The following is a 21,239-nucleotide window of genomic DNA, read 5'->3' as shown; positions in this document are numbered from 1 at the left end:
TATTAAACACAAAAGCTAACGAAGTCCTTCATTTGTTCGTTTCATTTTAAGAAGAAATGTCACTAACACACTTCTGATTTGATATTCTTATAGTACCCATACCATTTAAGAACACAGTGATATCCATTCTAAATTTAATATAGATGTAATAAATGCTCAAGTAAGACAAGCACTCAGAATTTCAGTCTTATTTTTGAAATTGTGTTATTTCCATTGGGCATGGAAAGAATTTCTGAAGTCCAAGAGTTTTTTTTTTTTGTTTTTTTTTTTTTTGAGACAGAGTCTCGCTCTGTAGCCCTGGCTGAAGTGCAGTGGCGCAATCTCAGCTCACTGCAGCCTCCACCTCCCAAGTTCAAGTGATTCTTCTGCCTCAGCCTTCCTAGTAGCTGGGTTTATAGGTGTGTGCCACCACCCCCAGCTAATTTTTGTATTTTTAGTAGAGACAGGATTTCACAATGTTGGCCAGGCTGGTCTTGAACCCCTGACCTCAAGTGATCTGCCCACCTCTGCCTCCGAAAGTACTGGGATTGCAGGCATGAGCCACCGAGCCCAGCCAAGTCCAGGAGACTTTTAAGACTCCTTTGTTCAAATAAGTCTTCCAAGGAGAAATGTATATTAAGAGAGACAAAAAGAAGCTAGCAGTTATACATACATTCGGAGATTGCATAGTAGTAATAAGAATAATATTCATTGTTACTGTTCTTAAATTGACATATTTCTAGTTGGACTGAAGTTTCTCTGTAAATATAAGGAAGAGAGGAAATCTTCTCCCTGTATCTTTCTAAGATTCCATTCTACTAGAAGTTTTTCGTTGAGAAGACTTAATTTTTTTGAGACACGACTCTGGCATTGTGTTATCACGAAAAAAAGAGCACGCCTAGTTTACTAGGGGAAAAAGTAGAGAAAAAATTGAACAGAATTTTTCCTTAATGATAATGGAATATGTATCCATGTAATATTTTGTCTACATTTCCTATATAGCTCAGAAAGGAGTCCAGTTTTTAGCAGAACACAGCAGGGTCCCTAGAAAGAAACCATTCTCTGCAGCTGAGGATACACTAACTTTAGGAAAGGATCAGAGCAATGCCTGGCAGGAAAAGATCAGCAATCCTAGCTGTCACTGACTCTCCATCTGACTTTCCCTCTCTGCCCCACAGTTCCAAATGTCACTTTGTCCAAGCTGGAGATGGCTTCCTGGATCACTGGGCTCTTGTTTTCCTCTAGGAAAAGATTTATGTAGACAACTTCCTTTAGTTTATTCAGAATAAAGCTGGAATTTTCCCAAATCAACTAGAAAACAGGCAGTAAAGGAAAGAAACGTGGAAGCCTAAAGATACGAAAGTTTACAGAACATACCTTCTTTGGTCAGTTCTTAAAAGTGCTCAGTCATCGCCAGCACCGTGTTCTGTCTTCAGGACTCAAAGCTGAACAAGCCATAATCTCTGTTTCTGGGGATTACAGTCAGTGAGCCAAGGGGAAACAGAGAAGACTATGAAGGATTACAATCAAGAGTGTGTTGTAAATGTTTTAACCAGCTCTTCAGAAAATAAAATTCCTGTTTTGTAGCATTTGCCTGTTTCTATTACATAAATATCCTCTCTGTGGCCACTTTCAAATTACCAACTCCAGCTTAAAATTGTGAGAGACGCAAAGTAACACATCATTACATAATATACCCTCTCTCTCTTCTTTACACACACACACATATATGCAATGAAAAAAACATAGACTTGGATTCAGCAACATAGATTATAGAAAATAATTAGAAAGTGATGGATTTTGAGTTTTACTACCCTTGTTTTTATATACTTTATTTACGTATAAATCTACATAATCTTTATTGAAGTGAAATTAACATAACATAAAATTAACCAACCCCTCATCATCCCCCTCACCACCCTTCCAATTCTTAAATATAAGACCTAAAACTATGAAACTCCCAGAAGAAAACATTGGGGAAACTCTTCAAGACATTTTTTATACTAGTATGTTTTTAGCCTCAATTTCATTTATTCTTGCTCTGATCTTTATGATTTCTTTCCTTCTACTATTTTTAGCTTTGGTTTGTTCTTGTTTTTCTAGTTTCCTGAGGTGCATTATTAGGTTGTTTATTTGAAATCTTTCCATTTTTTTGATGTAGGCATTTACTGCTATAAACTTCCCTCTTAGTACTTCTTTTGCTGTAGCCCATTGATTTTGGTATGTTGTCTTTTCACTTTCCTTTATTTCAAGAAATTATTTAAATTCCTTCTTAATTTCTTCATTAGCCAGTAGTTAGGAACACATAACTTCCATGTGTTTGTATAGTTTCCAAGGTTTCTCTTATTTATTTCCAGTTTTATTCATTGTGGTCAGAAAATACACTTAATATGATCTTGATTTCTTTGAATTTGTTGAGATTGGTTTTGTGGCATTGCTTGTGGTCTGTCCTAGAGAATATTCCATGTGCTAATGAGAGGAATATACATTCTGCGGAAGTGTGGTGAAATGTTCTGTAAATGTCATTTAGGTCTATTAGATCTAATGTGTAGGTTAACTCTGCTTTTTCTTTGCTGATTTTCTGTCTGGATGATCTGTCCATTACTGAGAGTAGGGTGTTGAAGACCCCCACTATTATTATATTGCAGTCTATTTCTCCCTTTAGATCTATTAATGTTTGCTTTATATACTAAGGAGCTTCAATGTTAGGTACATATAGGTTTATAATTGTTGTATCTGTGATATAGTTTAAATGTTTGTCCCCTCCAAATCTCATGTTGAAATGTGATGCCAGGTGTTGGAGGTTGGCATAGTGAGGAATGTTTAGTTCATGGGAGAAGATCCTTCATGAATGTTTTGGTGTCCTCCTCAGTGTAATGAGTGAGTTCTCACTCTAGTAGTTCATGCAAGAGCTGGTTGTTTAAAAGAGCCTGGCATCTCACTCCTGCTCTCCCTCTCACTATGTGACATGCCTGCTCCCCGTTCAGATTCTGCCATGATGGAAGCTTCCTGAGCCCTCACCAGAAGCAGATGTTGCGATATGCTTCTTGTACAGTCTGCAAAACCATGAGCCCAAATAAACTTGTCTTCTTTATAAATTACTCAGCCTCAGATATTACTTACTGTATAGCAATGCAAAAAGGATTAATACAATTTTCTTGTTGAATTGACCATTTTATCATCATATAGTGACTTTACCTTTTGTTATAGTCTTTCATTTGAAGTCTATTTTAGCTGACATAAGTATAGCTACTCTTGCCCTTTTCTGTTTTCCAGTTGTATGGAATATATTTTCCCCTCCTTTACTATTAGTCTATGTGTGACTTTATAAGTGAAGTGAGTATATTGAAGCCAGCATATAGTTGGGTCTTGTTTATTTATAAATTCACCCAATCAATACCTGTTAACTGGAGAACTGGGATTATTTACATTCAGTGTTAATTTTGATAAATAATTTTGATAATTTACTACTGCCATAGTGTTGCTTGTTTTCGTTTATTTTGAGAGTACTCTCTTTCTTTTTTACTGTCTTACTGTCTTCTTTTGTTGTTAGTAATTTTCTCTGGTAGTATGTTTTAATTTGTTGCTTTTTATTTTTAGTGAACTTATTATAGCCTGTTGTACTGTGGTTAACATGAGGCTTACAGAAAACATCTTATATATATAAAAAATTATTTTTAAAAGATGACAACTTAGACTACATATAAAAGAATATAAACAAACCAAAAAAAAACAACAAATTCTACATTTTAACTCCATGTCCCCATATTTTGACTTTTGGTTGTCTCAATTTACATATTTTAATATCATCTATCTTTTAATAGGTTGCTATACCTATATTTTTCCTCTGGTCTTTGATTCAGGATCTATTATTTTTGATAGATTTGTCTTTTGGGCTTCATACTAGCATGTTAAGTGAATTGCACACTACAATTATAGTAATGGAGTATTCTTGGTTTGTCCGTTTACTTAATTTTTCCAGTGAATTTTATATCTTGAAAAGTTTATCTTTCCACATTAGTGTTTTTTCTTTCAGATTGAAGAACTCCCTTAAGTATTACTTGCAAGATAGGTCTGGTGGTGGTGAATTCGCCCAGATTTTGTTTGTCTAGGAAAGACTTTATCTCTCCTTCATATTTAAAGGGTATTTTTGCTGGATTTAGAATTCCTGGGTGGGAGTTTTCTGTCTTTGGGCATTTTGAAAATGTCACTCCATTCCCTCCTGACCTATATGGCATCCAACAAGAACTCTGTTGCCAGATGAATTGGACTTTCTTCATATGTTATTTGCTTTTGCTTTTTTTTCTGCTTTTACAATCCTTTCTTTGTCTTTGACCTTTTCAAAGTCGTATGCCTTGGAGTAGTCTCATATGGATTGAATGTTTGATGTTCTCAGACCTTTCTGTACCAGGATATGTATATCTTTCTCAAGTTTCAGAAAGTTTTCCTTTATATTTATATATATATTTATATTTATATATATCTTTATATATTTATTTATTTATTTTGAGGCAGGGTCTCACTCTGTCACCCAGACTACAGTACAGTGGCATGATCATGTTCACTGCAACCTCCATCTCCCAGGCTCAAGAGATCCTCCCACCTCAGCTTCCCAAGTAGCTGAGACCACAGGCACATACCACCACGCTCAGCTAATTTTTGAATTTTTCTGTAGAAACAGGGCCTGGCCATGCTGCTCAGGCTGGCTTAAAACTCCTGAGCTCAAGCAATCTACCCACCTCAGCCTCCCAAATTGCTGGGATTACCAGGTGTGGGCCACCATGCCCATCCTGTTTTTGTTTTTTGGGTTTTTTTTTAAATAAGCCTTCTACCACTTACTCTCTTACTCTTGCTCAGCTCCCTCTTGAACAGCAACAATTTTTACCTTTGGTCCCTTGAGGTAATTTTCTATATCTTGCAGGCAGTCTTTGTTCCTTTTCATTATTTTTTCTCATCAGACTATCTACTTTCAAATAGCCAGTCTTTGAGCTCACTGATTCCTTCATCTGCTTAGTTCATTCTGGTGTTGAGAGCCTCTAAAGGGTTCTTTGTTTCAGCAAACGTATGTCTCAGTTCCAATATTTTTGTTTAATTTTTTTTAATTATTGTTTCAATCTCTTTGTTACACTTTCTGACATGCTTCTGAACTGCTTTACCTTTGAGATAATTGAGTTTCTCTTGGGCAGAGAATTCACAGATCACTATCTCATTAGAGTCAGTCACTGGATTTTTGCTTAGTCTTTCTGTGGAGGTAATGGCTCCCTGATTGTTGTTGTTTCTTGTGGGCATGTGCCAATGCCTTTGCATTGAAGGAGAAGTTATTTATTCCAGTTTTCTTTCTTTGGCTTGTTCTGGTTTTTATTTAGTATATTTATTTAGTGAATATTTACCACTAGATTGCTGCCTCCTTTTTCAGTCTAGGTGGTGCCTTAAGCCTAAGTTCACCTCGGCTCTGGTAAATGATTATAGCGTTGCCTGTCCTGAATGGGGGAGGTCTCAAAAGGATTATCTCAGCAATGTGGGAAGGCTGGCTAATGGTTCATGCCCAGGGCACCTATGGAACATACCTCCTACAATGTGCTGCTGCTAAACAGCCACTCTGATTTGGCATCTCCTTTGGCCAAGTTACAGAGCAGAATTCCCTAGGATGTGGATGATATTCTCACTTCCTCCCTTTGTCTTTGCTTGTCCTCAGGGATATTTATCCCTTTAGGTAGTCATGATGCTTCCTGTGGGTTAAGGCAAAGACAGGTCAACTTACAGGGGACTCAAGAAAGTGGGAAAGCTGACTGACCACCTCAATTTCACCTGTTCCAGTGTAGAAACTTTGAGTTGGGTGTCAGGGGAGATTTTCTATGTTCTTAGTACCAAAGAGAATAATGTGTAGGGTCATTACAGATGTGGAAATTTGATTCTCTTACCATCTGCTCAGAGTTTTCCCACTTCTGTGTGGTCCTGGGAACTGCCTCATCCTCATACTTGAGCTCTGGGTTATTGATGGTAAAAATTTCAGTGCTATATATTTGTTTTTGGTTTTCTGAGTGGGGACAGTAAAGCCAGCTTGCCCCTATGCCATAATCTTGCAACTGTAAGTCTTTAATTTTTGTTGTAAATGTCCCTTTTCCACGATCATTCTTTAAGAATATCTCACTATACATAAAATTTGTGTCTGATATTTTCTTTCAGTGAAATAAATACTCCATTCTACTCTCTTTTGGCTTCCACTATAGCTGTTCAGAAATCAGCTCTCTGTTAGGTTTTTAAAGGTAAACTCTTTTTCTACTTGTATTTGTACTTTCTACATGTATTTGTTGTTTTGTTGTTGTTCTTGTTGTTTCTGCAGTTTTATTCTGATGCATCTGATTGTAAAGTTATTTTATTTTACTTTAATTTTTTTACTTAGTGTTTGCAAAGGTCTTAAACTTTGTCTTTAATTTATAATGGAATTTTTTCATTCATTATTGCTTCAGATTATTTACCTCTTCTGTCAGATATTTTTACCAGGTAAATTACTTAAGGCTTTAAAAAATTGTCTTATACATTTCTCTACTTATTTCAAATGGCTTTCATTGGAAAGATTGGTTTGAGCTGCTGAGTTTACCATTAATTAACATGCAGATTTAAATTGTAGAGACATTGAGGAAGAAGAAATGCGCAAGACAAAAATGACTGCAAGATGGTGTTTTACTCTGTTTTGTGTTGCTATAGCAGAGCACTTGAGACATGGTAACTAACAATAAACAAATTTATGGCTCAAAGCTCTGGAGGCTGGGAAGTCCAAGGTCAAGGTGTCAGCATCTTGCAAGGACCTTCTTGCTTTGTCATCACATGGCAGAAGCACAAGAGGCAAAAGGGGACAAAATTCAACCTTTCATAACAGCATTAACCCCACCCATGATGGCATAGCCCTCATGGCCTAATCACCTCTCAATACTAATCATCTCTCCTGCCTCTTAATACTATTAAGATGGCAATTAAATTTCAACATAAGCTTTGGAGAGGACAAACCTTCAAACCATAGAAGATAGAATGACTATTATAGCAATCCGATAGACATGATGAAGGCAACATCTAAGGGAGAACGGATAGAGTGTCAAAAAGAAGTGAAATTAAATAGAGGTTTAAGAGGACAAATGGAAAAGATATTATGTACTAAATTCATGTTAAGAAGAAGGATGAACAAGACGCCCATTGGCCTGGAAGTAAGGTGGTGCCATTCAGCAGGACAAGAATTACAGGAGGAAGGGAAATTGAATAACGTATGAAATTGAAACATGTAAAATCTCATCTCATCTGCTGGTCAAGGATATATACTGAAGGTAGTGAGGGGAAAAACATAACATTAATAAAACATTAAATACAGGGGAGCATTTGAGTCTACAGACACAGATGAAGGTGGCATCAACAGAGAGACAGCTATTAATGTAACAGAAAGATGATATTAACTAGGGAAAATTAAGAGTAAGAAGGGAGTGACAAGCATAAACCAGGTTAGTAGCACATTTAAAAGGGCAGGAAAGCAAATAAATATCATGAAATGCCCTAGGAAGAAGTGACACAGAGACAGGAAGGAAACCAGGCAACACAGATTTCACAGAAACTAGATAATCTGTTGGTTCCATCACTCTTTAAAAAAAAAAAAAAAAAATCAAGCTACCAAACTCAAACTCAAGCATATTTTCAAACTCCGTCTCTCATCTTAATGTTTTACATGCAATTGATTCTATGTAAAAGGAATTGTCAAAATAAGTCTAGTAAGTTGCAACCCACCCTGCAAACCACAAAGGCAATCCACATTGAAAATATCCACAATGATGGCTTGCACACAAAAAAGGGTGTTAAAAAATTTTTGTTAAAACAATTAAATGAGGAATGAGAAAGCCTTGTAGACTTGCATACTAGTATACTTACACTTTTGGCCATGTGGCTGACACTTCCTAAGGTCAGAACAGTCAGCTAACTGAGTGTCTGTTTTTTATGCAGCCATGGCCACAGGAGAGCACACCCCTGATGACCCTCTGCTCAGAGGCAAAAGGAGGCAAGACCTCCAAGAGATGCTGAGAGAAGTGGGCCTGGATGTTGAGTACTGGTTACCCAAGCTGCAGGAACACCTGGGTGTGACCTGTGCCCAGGCCTTACAACACCTAGACAAAAACAACCTCAAGAAGCTGAAATCCCAGACACAACATCCATGGGAGAAAGCTGCTTAATCTGTCACACTCAAAAAGTCTTTCAGCGTTACAGGAGTCTCAGGTGGAGAGGGCAAAGAGAAAGCAGAAGCAGGCAGAACAGGCACTGCAGGAGCTGAGGGACTTGCTGACAGAAGGGAAGCAGAGACAGGAAGAGGCAGTGAGGACAAGAGAAGCAGAGCTGAGGCAAGCAATGGACATCCCTGAAGAGTACTGGCCATCCCCTGAAGAGCCTCTAAGGGAACTCATGGAAAACCTGCAGAGACAACTCAACCTCATGAAGTGGACACTGTGCCACAGGCAAAACCTTCCAGATAGAGATGTGGTGAGATGGGCATCTGGAGGGCTGGCCCTCCAGGGAATTTACAAAGCCAGCCACCAAAGGGGCCTGACAGAGAAGAGAGAGGAGTTGCTCAGTGTCCCCAAAGAGTTCTTACTTTTGGGTCCTCAGCAAGGAACACAAATGAAAACAAAGGAATTCACATCTCCTCAGGCTGAATTCATGTTTACCCAGATGGTAGAGAAGCTGGGCTTTCGTTTAACTACTTCAGCCAAGGACGGAAATTGGGGGTTTAGTCTAGAAGCTGGTTTGGATCACAGCAAACATCCAGAATCCAAGGAAACCCAACAATCAAGTTCTGAGAATTCTTATTTCTGCTCAACCAAGTTCAGCTATATCCCCCTGGCCTCCTGCCACTTTCCCATTGATCAGCTCCAGTTATCCAAGCCTGCTGTCCAGGAATTGAAATGCATTGAAGAGCTTCTGAGTCAGACAACAAACCCAGACAGGTTCTCCTTGCTGAGGCACAGGATCATAAACTTCTTCCACAGGTTTGGCTCTCATGTTAACCAAGGCCCTCTGCACCTGGGAGGAATCTACTGGTGGAAAGCCATTTCAGAGGGTTATTGCACGGAGCAGTTGGCAGAAGTGAGGCAGCAGTCTGCAGAGGCCCTGGACATTTTCATAAGGGACAGCTACAGTGGCTTTGGAGTGAAAGTTGCTGCAGGTGTGAATGTTTCAGACTCTCATTCGAAGACAGCCACTCAGACCAAAACTTCCCAAAACCTCCAAACCAAGGTCCAATTATCTGTGGCCCAAACAGGTGGCCCACCAGAAGCAGATGGCCTTGTCCAGTGGAAAGCTGGCCTCATTGCCAGCAATCAAACCTGGTGTGTCATTGACCGCGGGCTTCAGTTGGTGCCAGTTTGGGACATTATCCTCTCTAGCCACAGAAGCAATTTTAAGGATCCTCTTCAGGTGGCTAACTTCCTGAAAGACAGCTACACTGCTCTGACTAGCATCACTGCCCAGATCCAGAATGGGGAAGAGTTACTGAGTGCTGGGAAGGAGGCCAGGGTTTTTCTAGAGGATGTAAAATCTTGGGAGGTATCTGATCCTGAAGAGCAACTTAAAAAACTGATAAATTTCATGAAAATGTTGAGTCAAAAACTAAAAAGTTATGACACTTGGATTAATATATGTCTCACAGATTAGAGTCTGCAGAATTTTCTAGTAAACACCATCAACTTTTGCAAAAAGTCTTCCATTTATAAAACTAAATGTATTAAATCTCATTTGCGCAGCCTTCTGGATCCTCACATCTACAGAGTGACAAACTTTCCTCAGGCTCACTTCATCATGCAGTGGATCTTCCAGTCAGATTCAGAGCAGGAGCAGGTGAATATTTCCCAATTTTCTCAATTAATTGAGATCTTAAAAGAAACCCAGAATAACCTCATGGAAGTAAAGGTCAAATCTGAGTCCCCAGAAACAGTGGAGGAAGCTCAAAGAAAGTCCACTTATGAGGTCAGCTTGGCTCTCAGCTGCTTCTTGAATTATCTCCAAAAAACAGAGCAGACAGACACACAACTCTTGCTACTTTCCATTGCAGCTGCTGCAGGATATCATGTGATCAACAATACTTTTCAGAGTCTCTTGGGGTGTGATGAGTTAAGCTTCCTACTGGATGAAATGCAAACCGCCCAAAATAAATACCAGGAGCTTAAGAATATTTGCAGCTATAGGGCTCAGGCATTCCTGGTTCTCACAGGTCTGACAGCCACAGTTGGAGACACAGCTATTTCTTCAGAAGAGAAAACACAACGCATGTCATTAATGAGACATCACATGGGACAATCATTGTCCAAAGAAGTTGCACATGTCCTCACCAAACCTGGAGCAGATCACGATTGGGAAAACCTAGAGAAAGACTTGAGATTGCTCATTAATGGGGATTATGAAGAAGTCACCATCTCTTCTTTGCAAATGGAAGAGGTGAGCAAGCAAAGTCTCTTCTATGGAAAGAAACAGCCCCATGAACCACATGACAATGAAAATAACAAATGGGAGATGATAAAAAATGGAGCCTTCCTAGACTTACTCCAGCATCTAGGTCTAGAACATTACTACCCCAAAAAATTGAGCAAAGCTAATTTCCATCTCATCTATAAGACGTCTGTGTATAACACCCAGCCCAGCTCTGAACAGGAGCTTCCCTTCTATTTCCTGCAGAAACTACTGATGATGGATTATGAGCTGAGATACCTAGTCTTCAAAGATGATAGAAACACAGAACACCAAGTACATCCAAATGCTTCAGATCAGGAAGATGAGGCTTTTGACCCATATGAAAACTTTTTTGAAGACAGTGATAGTCCCACTAAATCTTCATCCACTGAGCCTAGCCCCCACATTCACCCAGTGGATATTCAGATGACAATTTTTCACTGTGCAGATAATTTTGCCAGACAATATATTTTGGCCAAACTTTCCACTTGTCAGTTTGCCCTCCCCCTTTTGGTGCCTAATCCCTGTACTTCTCAGATTGAATTCTCTCTCTGGTCTCTCCGTCAAATTACAAGAAGTTGGCAGGAAGCAAGGAAATCACCAAAAGGGAAGAACTATTATAAGAATCAGCAGATGTGCTGTGTCTCTACCTCAATTGTGTCCTTCGTAAGAGTTGGAAATGGCCTCTCTGCTTCTAAATCTCAGATTATGAACTGTCTTCTCAGTAAACGGAAACATGATGTGTTTTTTCACCGACACTGCACAGGAAGCAGGAAAGACTGCCTCTTGATGGGGGGCATGGTAGAGATCTGTTGGTTCTGTCCAGGAGGGGAAGATGAGGACAGATTTGACAACTGTGTGACCTTCACCAATCTTCATGGAGATGCAAAAGAACATGAGCAGCAGCTCAGCTTCCTGAAGGAGGTGTCTACTGTCATTGTGGTCCTCATGTCAGCCTCCGATGACAATGAAGGAAACCGAAAAATTGTCCGTAACTTGTGGCAGTCATCAAGGCCATTGATCTGCTTGCTCGATGACAAAGAAGCAACCATGACCAATATTTCTGGCCAAAGAATGAGAATGGGTATCAAGAATAGAAATGAGGCAGAATTAACAGAGGAACTCACAACTACAATCAGACATTTGCTAGAACTCTCAGATACTGCTCTCAGCTTGGAGGACTGTTCCCAGATTGCTCACCAGCAAGGATTTCTTATCGATGAAGACCAGAGAGACTGCAAGGAAGCCAAAGAAAAGGCACAGGCTCTAATGGCCTTCCTGGGGAAAATGAAATTATCTCAGATTAAGGAAAAATTACTACCCCTTCAGGGACAACTGTGGCACCACTGGTGTAAGAAGGACAAAGAACTCTATCATCTTAGAGAAAAGGGAAATCAGAGCATTGAACAACACAAGAGTGAGATTGAGACAGATAAACAAATAATACGGCATGAACAGTTGGCCAGAGCCCTTCCTCTCAATGATTTAATGCAATCTGTCCTTCAGTTTCTCCAAGAGCATTCAGAAATTCACACCAAACTGTACTTCTTGCAGTGGCTGAGTGTATTTTTGGACAAACTGACTGCAGGACACTTGGAAGAACTGCATGAGAAGCAAAAATATTGGTGGTCACTGGTTCAAACAGTAAAGCAAAAGGCACCTAATAGTCACTCCCTGATATGCCTGCAAAGTGAGATAGAAGCCATTTCCACAGAGATTAGTGACTGTACTTTGGGAATTGAGCAACTTATCAGAGAAGTTGGTCAGATTTATGAAGCTCTGGAAGAAGCTTCCTCCATAAAAAAGATTTTTTTCTCGCTTCCCCAAATTGCCGCAGACCTGATGATATCTGGTGTTCCCATTGAGCTGATGGATGGGGATGCAGCATATGTACCTCTAACATGGGTGGCAGCTGTTTTTGACAAGGTCTCTGAGAAACTTGGAGACAAACGGCTATTTGTTCTTTCTATCCTTGGCTTGCAGAGCTCAGGGAAATCCACCGTGCTGAATGCCCTTTTTGGGCTTCAGTTCACTGTTAGTGCAGGCAAATGTACCCAAGGGGCCTATATGCAGCTCCTCAAGGTGGAGGAGACATTCACGGAGGAACTTGGCTTTGACTTTGTGCTTGCTGTGGACACAGAAGGACTTCGGGCACCAGAACACAGCAACAAATCCAAGGATAGGGACAATGAGTTGGTAACTTTTGTCATTGGACTTGCAAACTTGACTCTGATCAATATTTTTGGGGAGAATCCATCAGAGATGCAAGATATCCTACAAATAGTTGTCCAAGCCTTTCTGAGAATGAAACAAGTAAAAATCTTTCCAAGTTGCCTCTTTGTCCATCAGAATGTGGGGGAAGCTACAGCTACGGACCAAACTATGGATGGACGAAGACGGCTAGAGCAGAAACTAGATGAAATGGCAGCAATAGCTGCTGAACAAGAACAGTGCTTAGACGTAACCTGCTTCAGTGATGTCATTAGGTTTGATGTCAATACTCACGTCTACTACTTTGCTCACCTCTGGGATGGCAACCCCCCAATGGCCCCTCCCAATCCTCGCTACAGCCACAATGTACAGCAACTGAAAAGTAGAATTCTTATGACTGCCACACAGGAATCCAGGGGAAACATCATGAAGATATCAGATGTAAAATCCCGAGTTCAAGATTTGTGGAGAGGCCTGATGAACGAGAACTTTATTTTCAGTTTCAGGAACACCCAAGAAGTCATGGCCATGAACAAACTGGAAACCATGTATAACCACTGGACCTGGGAGCTGAGGAGTCACGTGCTGGGCTTGCAGAACCAGCTGATCAACCAGATTCAGAATGGAAAAATCCAGACACTTGAAGCAAGCACATTTGAGGTTCTAGTTACAGAAAAATATGAAGTTGTCAAGCAAGAACTTGAAAAATATTTTAATGAAGGCCCATGTAGCAAAATACTGATTCAATGTAAAGCAAACTTTGAAAATAAGCTAATAGTCCTTAAAGAAAAACTTATTTCAGATAGCAAAAGACAAGCCAATGAACTCATTAGTTTTAAAAACCAAAGTCAAGAAAGGCTGAATAAGAAAAAGACAGATTATGAAAAAGAATTATTGGAAAAAAGCCGGAAGTTGGCTTTAACTGTAAAGGGCAAAGAATTGAGTGAGGAAGAGTTACATGAGAAATTCAATCAACTTTGGAAAAAGTGGGTGTGTGATGTATCCACAACTCTCCCGCAAGTTACAGAGCCTGACATTGATTTGGATTCTGAAAACATCCTTTGGGAGTATTTCAAAAACAAGACGAATGTCGTGGGTCTACTGACAAATTCTGCAGAGAAGTTTCAAATCAATTATGATAAACATATCAAGGTGAATAAGAAATATAACCATATCCCAATGACATTAACAGTCTTTGAGAAAGAGTTCATTAATATGACTACTGACTACATTGTTTCAAGATTTAATAAAATTATTAACAACATGTGGAAACAACAGTGTGGTTACAATCCAAATTATTTCCATGAGATTCTAAAGACAATAGAAGAAGAAGTGAAATCTGCCTCTACTCAGAAGAGATACACATTTACAAATACATTTATCATTGACTTATGTGTGTGTTTATTTCAAAGAGCAAGAGAGAATTTTAAGGAAATGCACAGGGCATTCAAGAGAGCAAATGATCCTGTAAACTACCTAGAAAGTAAGAAAGATGATTTCTTCACGAGTTTTAAGATCTCCTGTCAAGGAGCAACCTCCATCAAAACATTTGTTGATGTTCTGTGGTATAAGCTCACTCCTGCAGTCTCCACTACTATATGGGAGGACATGACCTTTAAAATTGCGGGGGACATGCGAGCTACCTGCCCTGCGTTCAATGGAAACAGGACTAACCTGGAGAAACACATTCTCTTCTCTCTGGCAGAAGAAGAAAACTTTGATAATTACTGGGAATACCTTCATAATTCAAAATCGTTTTTTAGGAGTTACATCAAAAATCATATTAAAAGATATTGTTCAGACAATGGAGGTGAAAAAATGAAGACTTTTTTTGAAAAAAGCTTAATTGATATCAAGAATACCATCCTCTCTGCCATCCATGAATCCACATCAGTAGCTAAAGATAAAAGCAGCACTGCTTCTGAGTGGTTGGATTTATTCTGTGATTGCCTGGGGTGCAACTTGATCTTTCCACGAAGGGACTTGATAAGCATTGAACACCAGGAGATAAAACATACTGAATTTCTTAAAGAAGCCATGAGTGCAGCTTTGGATCTCACAATGAAGAAAATAGAACAGAATTATTCAAGTAAGCCTATAGAAGCAATGGTTTCTAAAATTGAGAAAATGCTCTCTGAACATCTCTGTGGCTGCTGGAAACAGTGTCCCAGCTGTGGAGCAATTTGTACAAACACAATTCCTACACATGAAGGAGACCATAGTGTTCCCTTCCACCGTCCTCAGGCTGTCAATGGGGAGGAATGGTATGAAACAGATGATTTTGTCATTGATTGCTGTACTAGTTTGGTTGCAAGTGATTGTTTGTTGGTTTTGAGGGATGGCAGGAATTTCCCATTTAAGAACTATCGACAAGCAGGAGGGGATTATGCCATGTGGAGCATCACCCCAGATACCTCCATCCAGCTATACTGGAAATGGTTTGTCTCTCACTTCAGATCAAATCTAGAAGAAAAATATCAGAAAAAATTTGCAGGTAAAGGTAAAATCCCCAATGCATGGGCCAAAATCACAAAGCAAGATGTGCTTGAAGACTTGAAAAAACAGTAATACTCAGTGACCACAAAAGAGCCCCAGTGTCTGAAGAAAAGAGGCAGTGTACCTGAACAATCCAAAAACAACTACTCATTACAATTAGAACCTTCATCATTTCCATGTTTAAAATGAAATGTGTAAAAATCAATCAATTAACACATTAAGAGATGAAAATTTCCAGTAAAAGGACTTCATTTCTCTCTGCCTCAATTCCTCTAGTTTAAAAACAACTTACTAAAATCTGTTAATATATGATGAAATCAAATAACATTCATTTTAGAAACCTATTTTGTATTTTAAACTATTATTCTAGATATTGCTTTTTTATTTTAAAATATTTAAGTATCAGAGAAAGTCATTTTAACAGAGAAAAATCAAAATCATTTCAGGCTGCAACAAATTTCTATAGAATAACTGTATCAGTATTTCAACCAATATACATGTCTTGACTGAAAGCTATAAACTGGCTCACTGCAACGTCCACCTCCCGGGTTCAAGTGATTCTCCTGCCTCAGCCTCCTGAGTAGCTGGAACTACAGGCACACACCATCACTCCTATTTTTTTTTGTATTCTTAGTAGAGACAGGGTTTCACTGTGTTGGCCAGGCTGGTCCTGACCTCAAGTGATCCACCCATCTCGGCCTCCCAAAGTGCTGGGATTACAGGCATGAGCCACTGAGCCCAGCCAGACTTTTCAATGTTTAAGTGGATTTTTTTCACCCTCTAAAGTTTTAAGGAAAAGTTATTAATCTTTAAATGTAAAAACATTCATGAGTCCCAAGCATAGCAATATTTAGGCATATTCTGTTCTAGGAAAGAATAAAGCAGAGACTTGACCAAGATAGGGATGTCATCAATTCAGGAAACATTATCAAGCAAATATGGAAAGTAGAAATCAAATAACTGTTTTTCTCATTAACTTTCACCCTGTTCTTCCCTGGTATGTTGGCAATTCCCTGCGCATGCTAAGAAAAAAAAAAAAACAGTCACAAAGCTTTGTTATTCAAAGCTTGGTGTTATGTACAAGTCTGAGAATTGGCTTTTGGAAAAAAATTTATGATGACCAAATAAAATGTACCATTTTAATGAAGTCTGTGGACAAGGTTCAATTAGATTGGTTATTTTAAAATGATTCATTGATTATTTTAAACTGATTACTTAAAGAAAAATATCAAAAAGTATACAGTTTTAAGGCCGGGCATGGTGGCTCATGCCTGTAATCCCAGCCCCCTGGGAGACAGGGCAGGCAGATCACCTGATGTCAGGAGTTTGGGACCAGCCTGGCCAACATGATGAAACTCCATCTCTACTAAAAATACAAAACTTAGCCAAGCATGGTGGCAGGCACCTGTAATCCCAGCTACTTGGGAGCCTGAAGCAGGAGAATGGCTTGAACCTGGGAGGCAGAGTTTGCAGTGAGCTGAGAACAAGCCACTGCACTCCAGCCTGGGTGACAGAGCGAGACTCCGTGTTGAAAAAAAAAAAAAAAAAAAAGTATACAGTTTTTACAAATCTCCTAATACACTTAACTGGGTTCTAATATTTCAATAAGGAATTTATTTTTATACATAAAAGTGTAATGAATGCTTTCCTCCAAATCGGGCATATATGTGACTGTTCACACCATTTGAGCCATAAATTCATAATTAGAATAAAAATGAAGAACACTCTGAATCCAACCAGGGCCTGAGAAGGGAAGGAAATCACCCTTCTGCAAACCTACACCTTATGCTAGGTTCTCAAAGCTGATGATCTAAAGGAATCCTGGTGCAAAGAAGACAATTTATTCATGTTGGACATAAATGCACCCGTTGGCTTCCATTTACAGGTGTACTCTATCTTCCATAAACAGTGAAAATAGACAGCCCAGGGAGCAGTAACCAAGTGACTTGGATCTTCAGAGCATGGAGATAGGAATGCTGACTCTATCTCCTTTGTCCTCTCAAAGGGCTTCAAGCCTATTCTCAATGTCAGGTCAAATGACTCATCTCTCCAGAAAAAGTTTGAGGACAGAAAAATTACAAAGGAAACATGTTCTTGGAGAGTATAGTTTTTCTTTTGTTCTCTGGAAAATAATGTTAGTGAGAGTTGGAAGGATCTCCTAAAACAACAAAATGGAAATATGATAGAAGCAGAACCCCTGCCCCACATGGTGCCTGTCTCTCACATCACTGTAACCTTAAAAACTGTGTAGGGGCCAGCCCCACAGGGTTGGTGGGTTTCTCCCCATGTGCAGAGACAAGAGAACGTAGAAATAAAGACGCAAGACAAAGAGGTAAAAGAAAAGACAGCTGGGCCCAGGGGACCACTACCACCAAGACGCGGAGACCGGTAGTGGCCCTGAATGTCTGGCTGCGCAGTTATTTATTGGATACAAAGCAAAAGGGGCAGGGTAAAGAGTGTGAGTCATCTCCAATGATAGATAAGGTCACGTGGGTCACATGTCCACTGGACAGGGGTCCCTTCCCTGCCTGGCAGCCAAGGCAGAGAGACAGAGGGAGAGAGAGAGAGACAGCTGACACCATTATTTCTGCATATCAGAGACTTTTAGTACTTTCACTAATTTTGCTACTGTTATCTAAAAGGCAGAGCCAGGTGTACAGGATGGAACATGAAAACGGACTAGGAGCGTGACCACTGAGGCACAGCATCACAGGGAGACGGTTAGGCCTCCAGATAACTGCGGGCGGGCCTGACTGATGTCAGGCCCTCCACAAGAGGTGGAGGAGTAGAGTCTTCTCTAAACTCCCCCGGCGAAAGGGAGACTCCCTTTCCTGGTCTGCTAAGTAGTGGGTGTTTTTCCTTGACACTGACGCTACCGCTAGACCACAGTCCACTTGGCAAAGGGAGTCTTTCCAGACACTGGCATCACCACTAGACCAAGGAGCCCTCTGGTGGCCCTGTCTGGGCATAGCAGAAGCCTCGCACTCTTCTGGTCACTTCTCACTGTGTCCCCTCAGCTCCTATCTCTGTATGGCCTGGTTTTTCTTAGGTTATGATTGTAGAGCAAGGATTATTATAATATTGGAATAAAGAATAATTACTACAAACTAATGATTAATGATATTCATATATAATCATATCTAAGATATATATCTAGTATAACTATTCTTATTTTATATATATTATCATATATATAATATATATTATAATATAATATAGTATAGTATATTTTATATATTATACTGGAACAGCTCGTGCCCTTGGTCTCTTGCCTCAGCACCTGGGTGGCTTGCCGCCCACAAACTGCTCACTGTTCAATTACCATTTTCAGAATGCTTTTTATGTTTGTTTGATGAATTCATAAAAGTCTCTAATGTGAAATAAGCCAAGCACAGAAAGACAAATAATGCATGTTTGGCCGGGTGTGGTGGCTCACGCCTGTAATCCTGACACTTTGGGAGGCCGAGGCGGGCAGATCCCCTGAGGTCAGGAGTTTGAGACCACCCTGGCCAACATGGTGAAACCTCGTCTCTACTAAAAATACAAAAACAATTAGACAGGCGTGGTGGCAGGCGCCTGTAATTCTAGCCACTTGGGAGGCTGAGGCAAGAGAATTGTTTGAACCAGGGAGGCAGAGGTTGCAGTGAACCGAGATCGTGCCATTGTAATCCAGCCTGAGCAAGAGAGCAAGACTTGGTCTCAAAAGAAAAAAAAAAAGATAAATAACACATGTTCTCTCATAGGTCAGTACTAAAAGAGTTGCTCTCATAGAAGTAAACAGAACAGTGGTTACTAGAGGCTGGGAAGGGAAAGGCTGTAAAAGGGATAGGGAGAGGTTGGTTAAAGAATACAAAATTACAGCTAGATAGGAGGAATAAGTTCTAGGGTTCTATAGTTCTGGAGGGTGACTATAGTTAGCAATAATTCATTGTATATTTTCAAAAAGTGAGAAGAAAAGATTTTAATGATCTTAACATAAAGAAATGATCAATGTTTAAGGTGATAGATATGCTAATTACCCTGATCTAATCATTACACATTATATACATGTATCAAAATCTCACCCTGCACATACACCATGGAATACCATGCAGCCATAAAATGAACAAGATTATGCCTTTTGCAGGAACATAGATGGAGCTGGAGACCATTGTCCTTAGCAAACTAATGCAGGAACAGAAAAATAAATACTGCACGTTCTCACTTATAAGTGGGAGCTAAATGATGAGAACTCATGGACTCAAAGAGAGGAACAACAGACACTGGGACCTACCTGAGAGTGGAGGGTGGGAGGAGAGAGAGGACCAGAAAGATGAAGAAGCAGGTATAAGCCAAATGTTGAGAGTTAGAGAATGCCAGCCTGCAGTTGTCATCACCCAGGCTTAGTACCTGGGTGATGAAATAATCTGTACAACAAACCCTCATGACACGAGTTTACCTATATAACAAATCTGCACATGTAACCCTGAGGCTAAATAAAAGTTTTTTAAAATCTCACTCTGTACTGCATAAACATGTATGAATATTATGTGTGAATTAAACGTTTTTAACATCCTTTAACAAGGTATCATATATATGTTAACCTTGACTTTCAAACCAAAATTAGTGTGTATAAAATTTCAAAAGTCTTTGATAAATTCCTCAGGATTTTAAGCTGCATGGTTATTAAATGAGATTCAGAGGCCGTTCTCAAGAAATCACACAAAAGATGGGAAAAAGGTAAATTGGGATAAAGCAAAGATGCCTGTGTAGAGATGGGGATTTCTGTGATAGAAGTGGAGAGAGTAGCGCTGCCATCAAGGTGGGGTTAGGATTGGAGAGGATTAGTGTCAGTGGGTTGGGTGGCACTGGGGCGAGAGACCTCAGGAGTCAGGAGGGATGAGATCATCAAGAAGGGGAGACACCTGCGTTCAAAATCCTCACTCTGTAAACATATTAGACCAGTCTTTCTAGTTCTAAGTTTGTACGATTATCAGATTTATTTATTTTGAGATGGAGTCTCACTCTGTTGCCCAGGCTGGAGTGCAGTAGTGGTGCGATCTCGGCTCACTGCAACCTCTGCCTCCCGGGTTCAAGTGATTCTCCTGCCTCAGCCTCCTGAGTAGCTGGGATTACAGGCGCATGCCACCACGCCTGGCTAATTTTTGTATTTTTAGTAGAGACGGGGTTTCACCATGTTGGTCAGGCTGGTCTCGAACTCCTGACCTCGTGATCCACCCGCCTCGGCCTCTCAAAATGCTGAGATTACAAGTGTGAGCCACCATGCCCGGCTGATTATCAAATTTATTTACTGATCTACTAATCATCATGGTACAAGTAATTCAAAATGAAAATATCATCTATTAACAAATTGTTTTGTGAAACCAAAAAAAAGGGGGGGGTGGTCAGGGGGAGACACTGGGTCTAGGTGCAGCTCACAGGATTAGAGGTAGCTAGAGTTATGACATTGGCAGGAACAGGGCTCTCATGGTCAGTGGAATGGGGCAGAGTCATTGCAAGTGGGAAACAGAGACATGGGAGTTGGGGATCACTTCAGTAGATTTAGGGATGTTCCAGTCAGTTAAAGCAGAGAACCAAGTACAGTGGGAAAGAAGGAGTCACAAGGCCTGTAGAAAAGGGAAGCAGGGTGATGGATTCTAGAACAACATCAAATCACATGAATAAGTTGTGAGTTACTTACATGTGGAATCTAAATTTGAAATCATAGAAGTAGAAAGTAGAATGTTTGTGGTCAGGTGCGGTGGCTCATGCCAGTAATCCCAGAACTTTGGGAGGTTGAGGCAGGCGGATCACATGAGGTCAGGAGTTGTAGACCAGCCTGGGCAGCACAGTGAAGCCCCATCTCTACTGAAAATACAAAAATTAGCCGGGTGTTGTGGCGGGCGCCTGTAATCCCAGCTACTCAGGAGGCTGAGACAGGAGAATCACTTGAACCTGGGAGGCAGAGGTTGCAGTGAGCTGAGATAGCTCTACTGCACTCCAGCTTGGGCGGCACATGGAGACTGTCTCAAAAACATAAAAAAATAAAAAGAAAAAAGAAGGAAAGTAGAATGTTTGTTACCAGAAGCTGGGATGGT

General features: G+C 40.1%; 1 pseudogene across 1 annotated transcript; it reads left to right on the top strand.

Annotated features, from left to right (window-relative positions):
* The first annotated feature begins 7,965 nt into the window (after positions 1–7,965).
* Positions 7,966–16,706, top strand: GVINP1 (GTPase, very large interferon inducible pseudogene 1; annotated as a pseudogene). Its single transcript, NR_003945.1, has one exon. The product of NR_003945.1 is annotated as a GTPase, very large interferon inducible pseudogene 1 (transcript).
* The last annotated feature ends 4,533 nt before the right edge of the window (positions 16,707–21,239 follow it).

The sequence above is a fragment of the Homo sapiens genome, chromosome 11 (genome assembly GCF_000001405.40).
Source record: "Homo sapiens chromosome 11, GRCh38.p14 Primary Assembly".
Lineage (NCBI taxonomy): Eukaryota > Metazoa > Chordata > Mammalia > Primates > Hominidae > Homo > Homo sapiens.
This window is presented reverse-complemented; position numbering and strand designations above follow the sequence as displayed.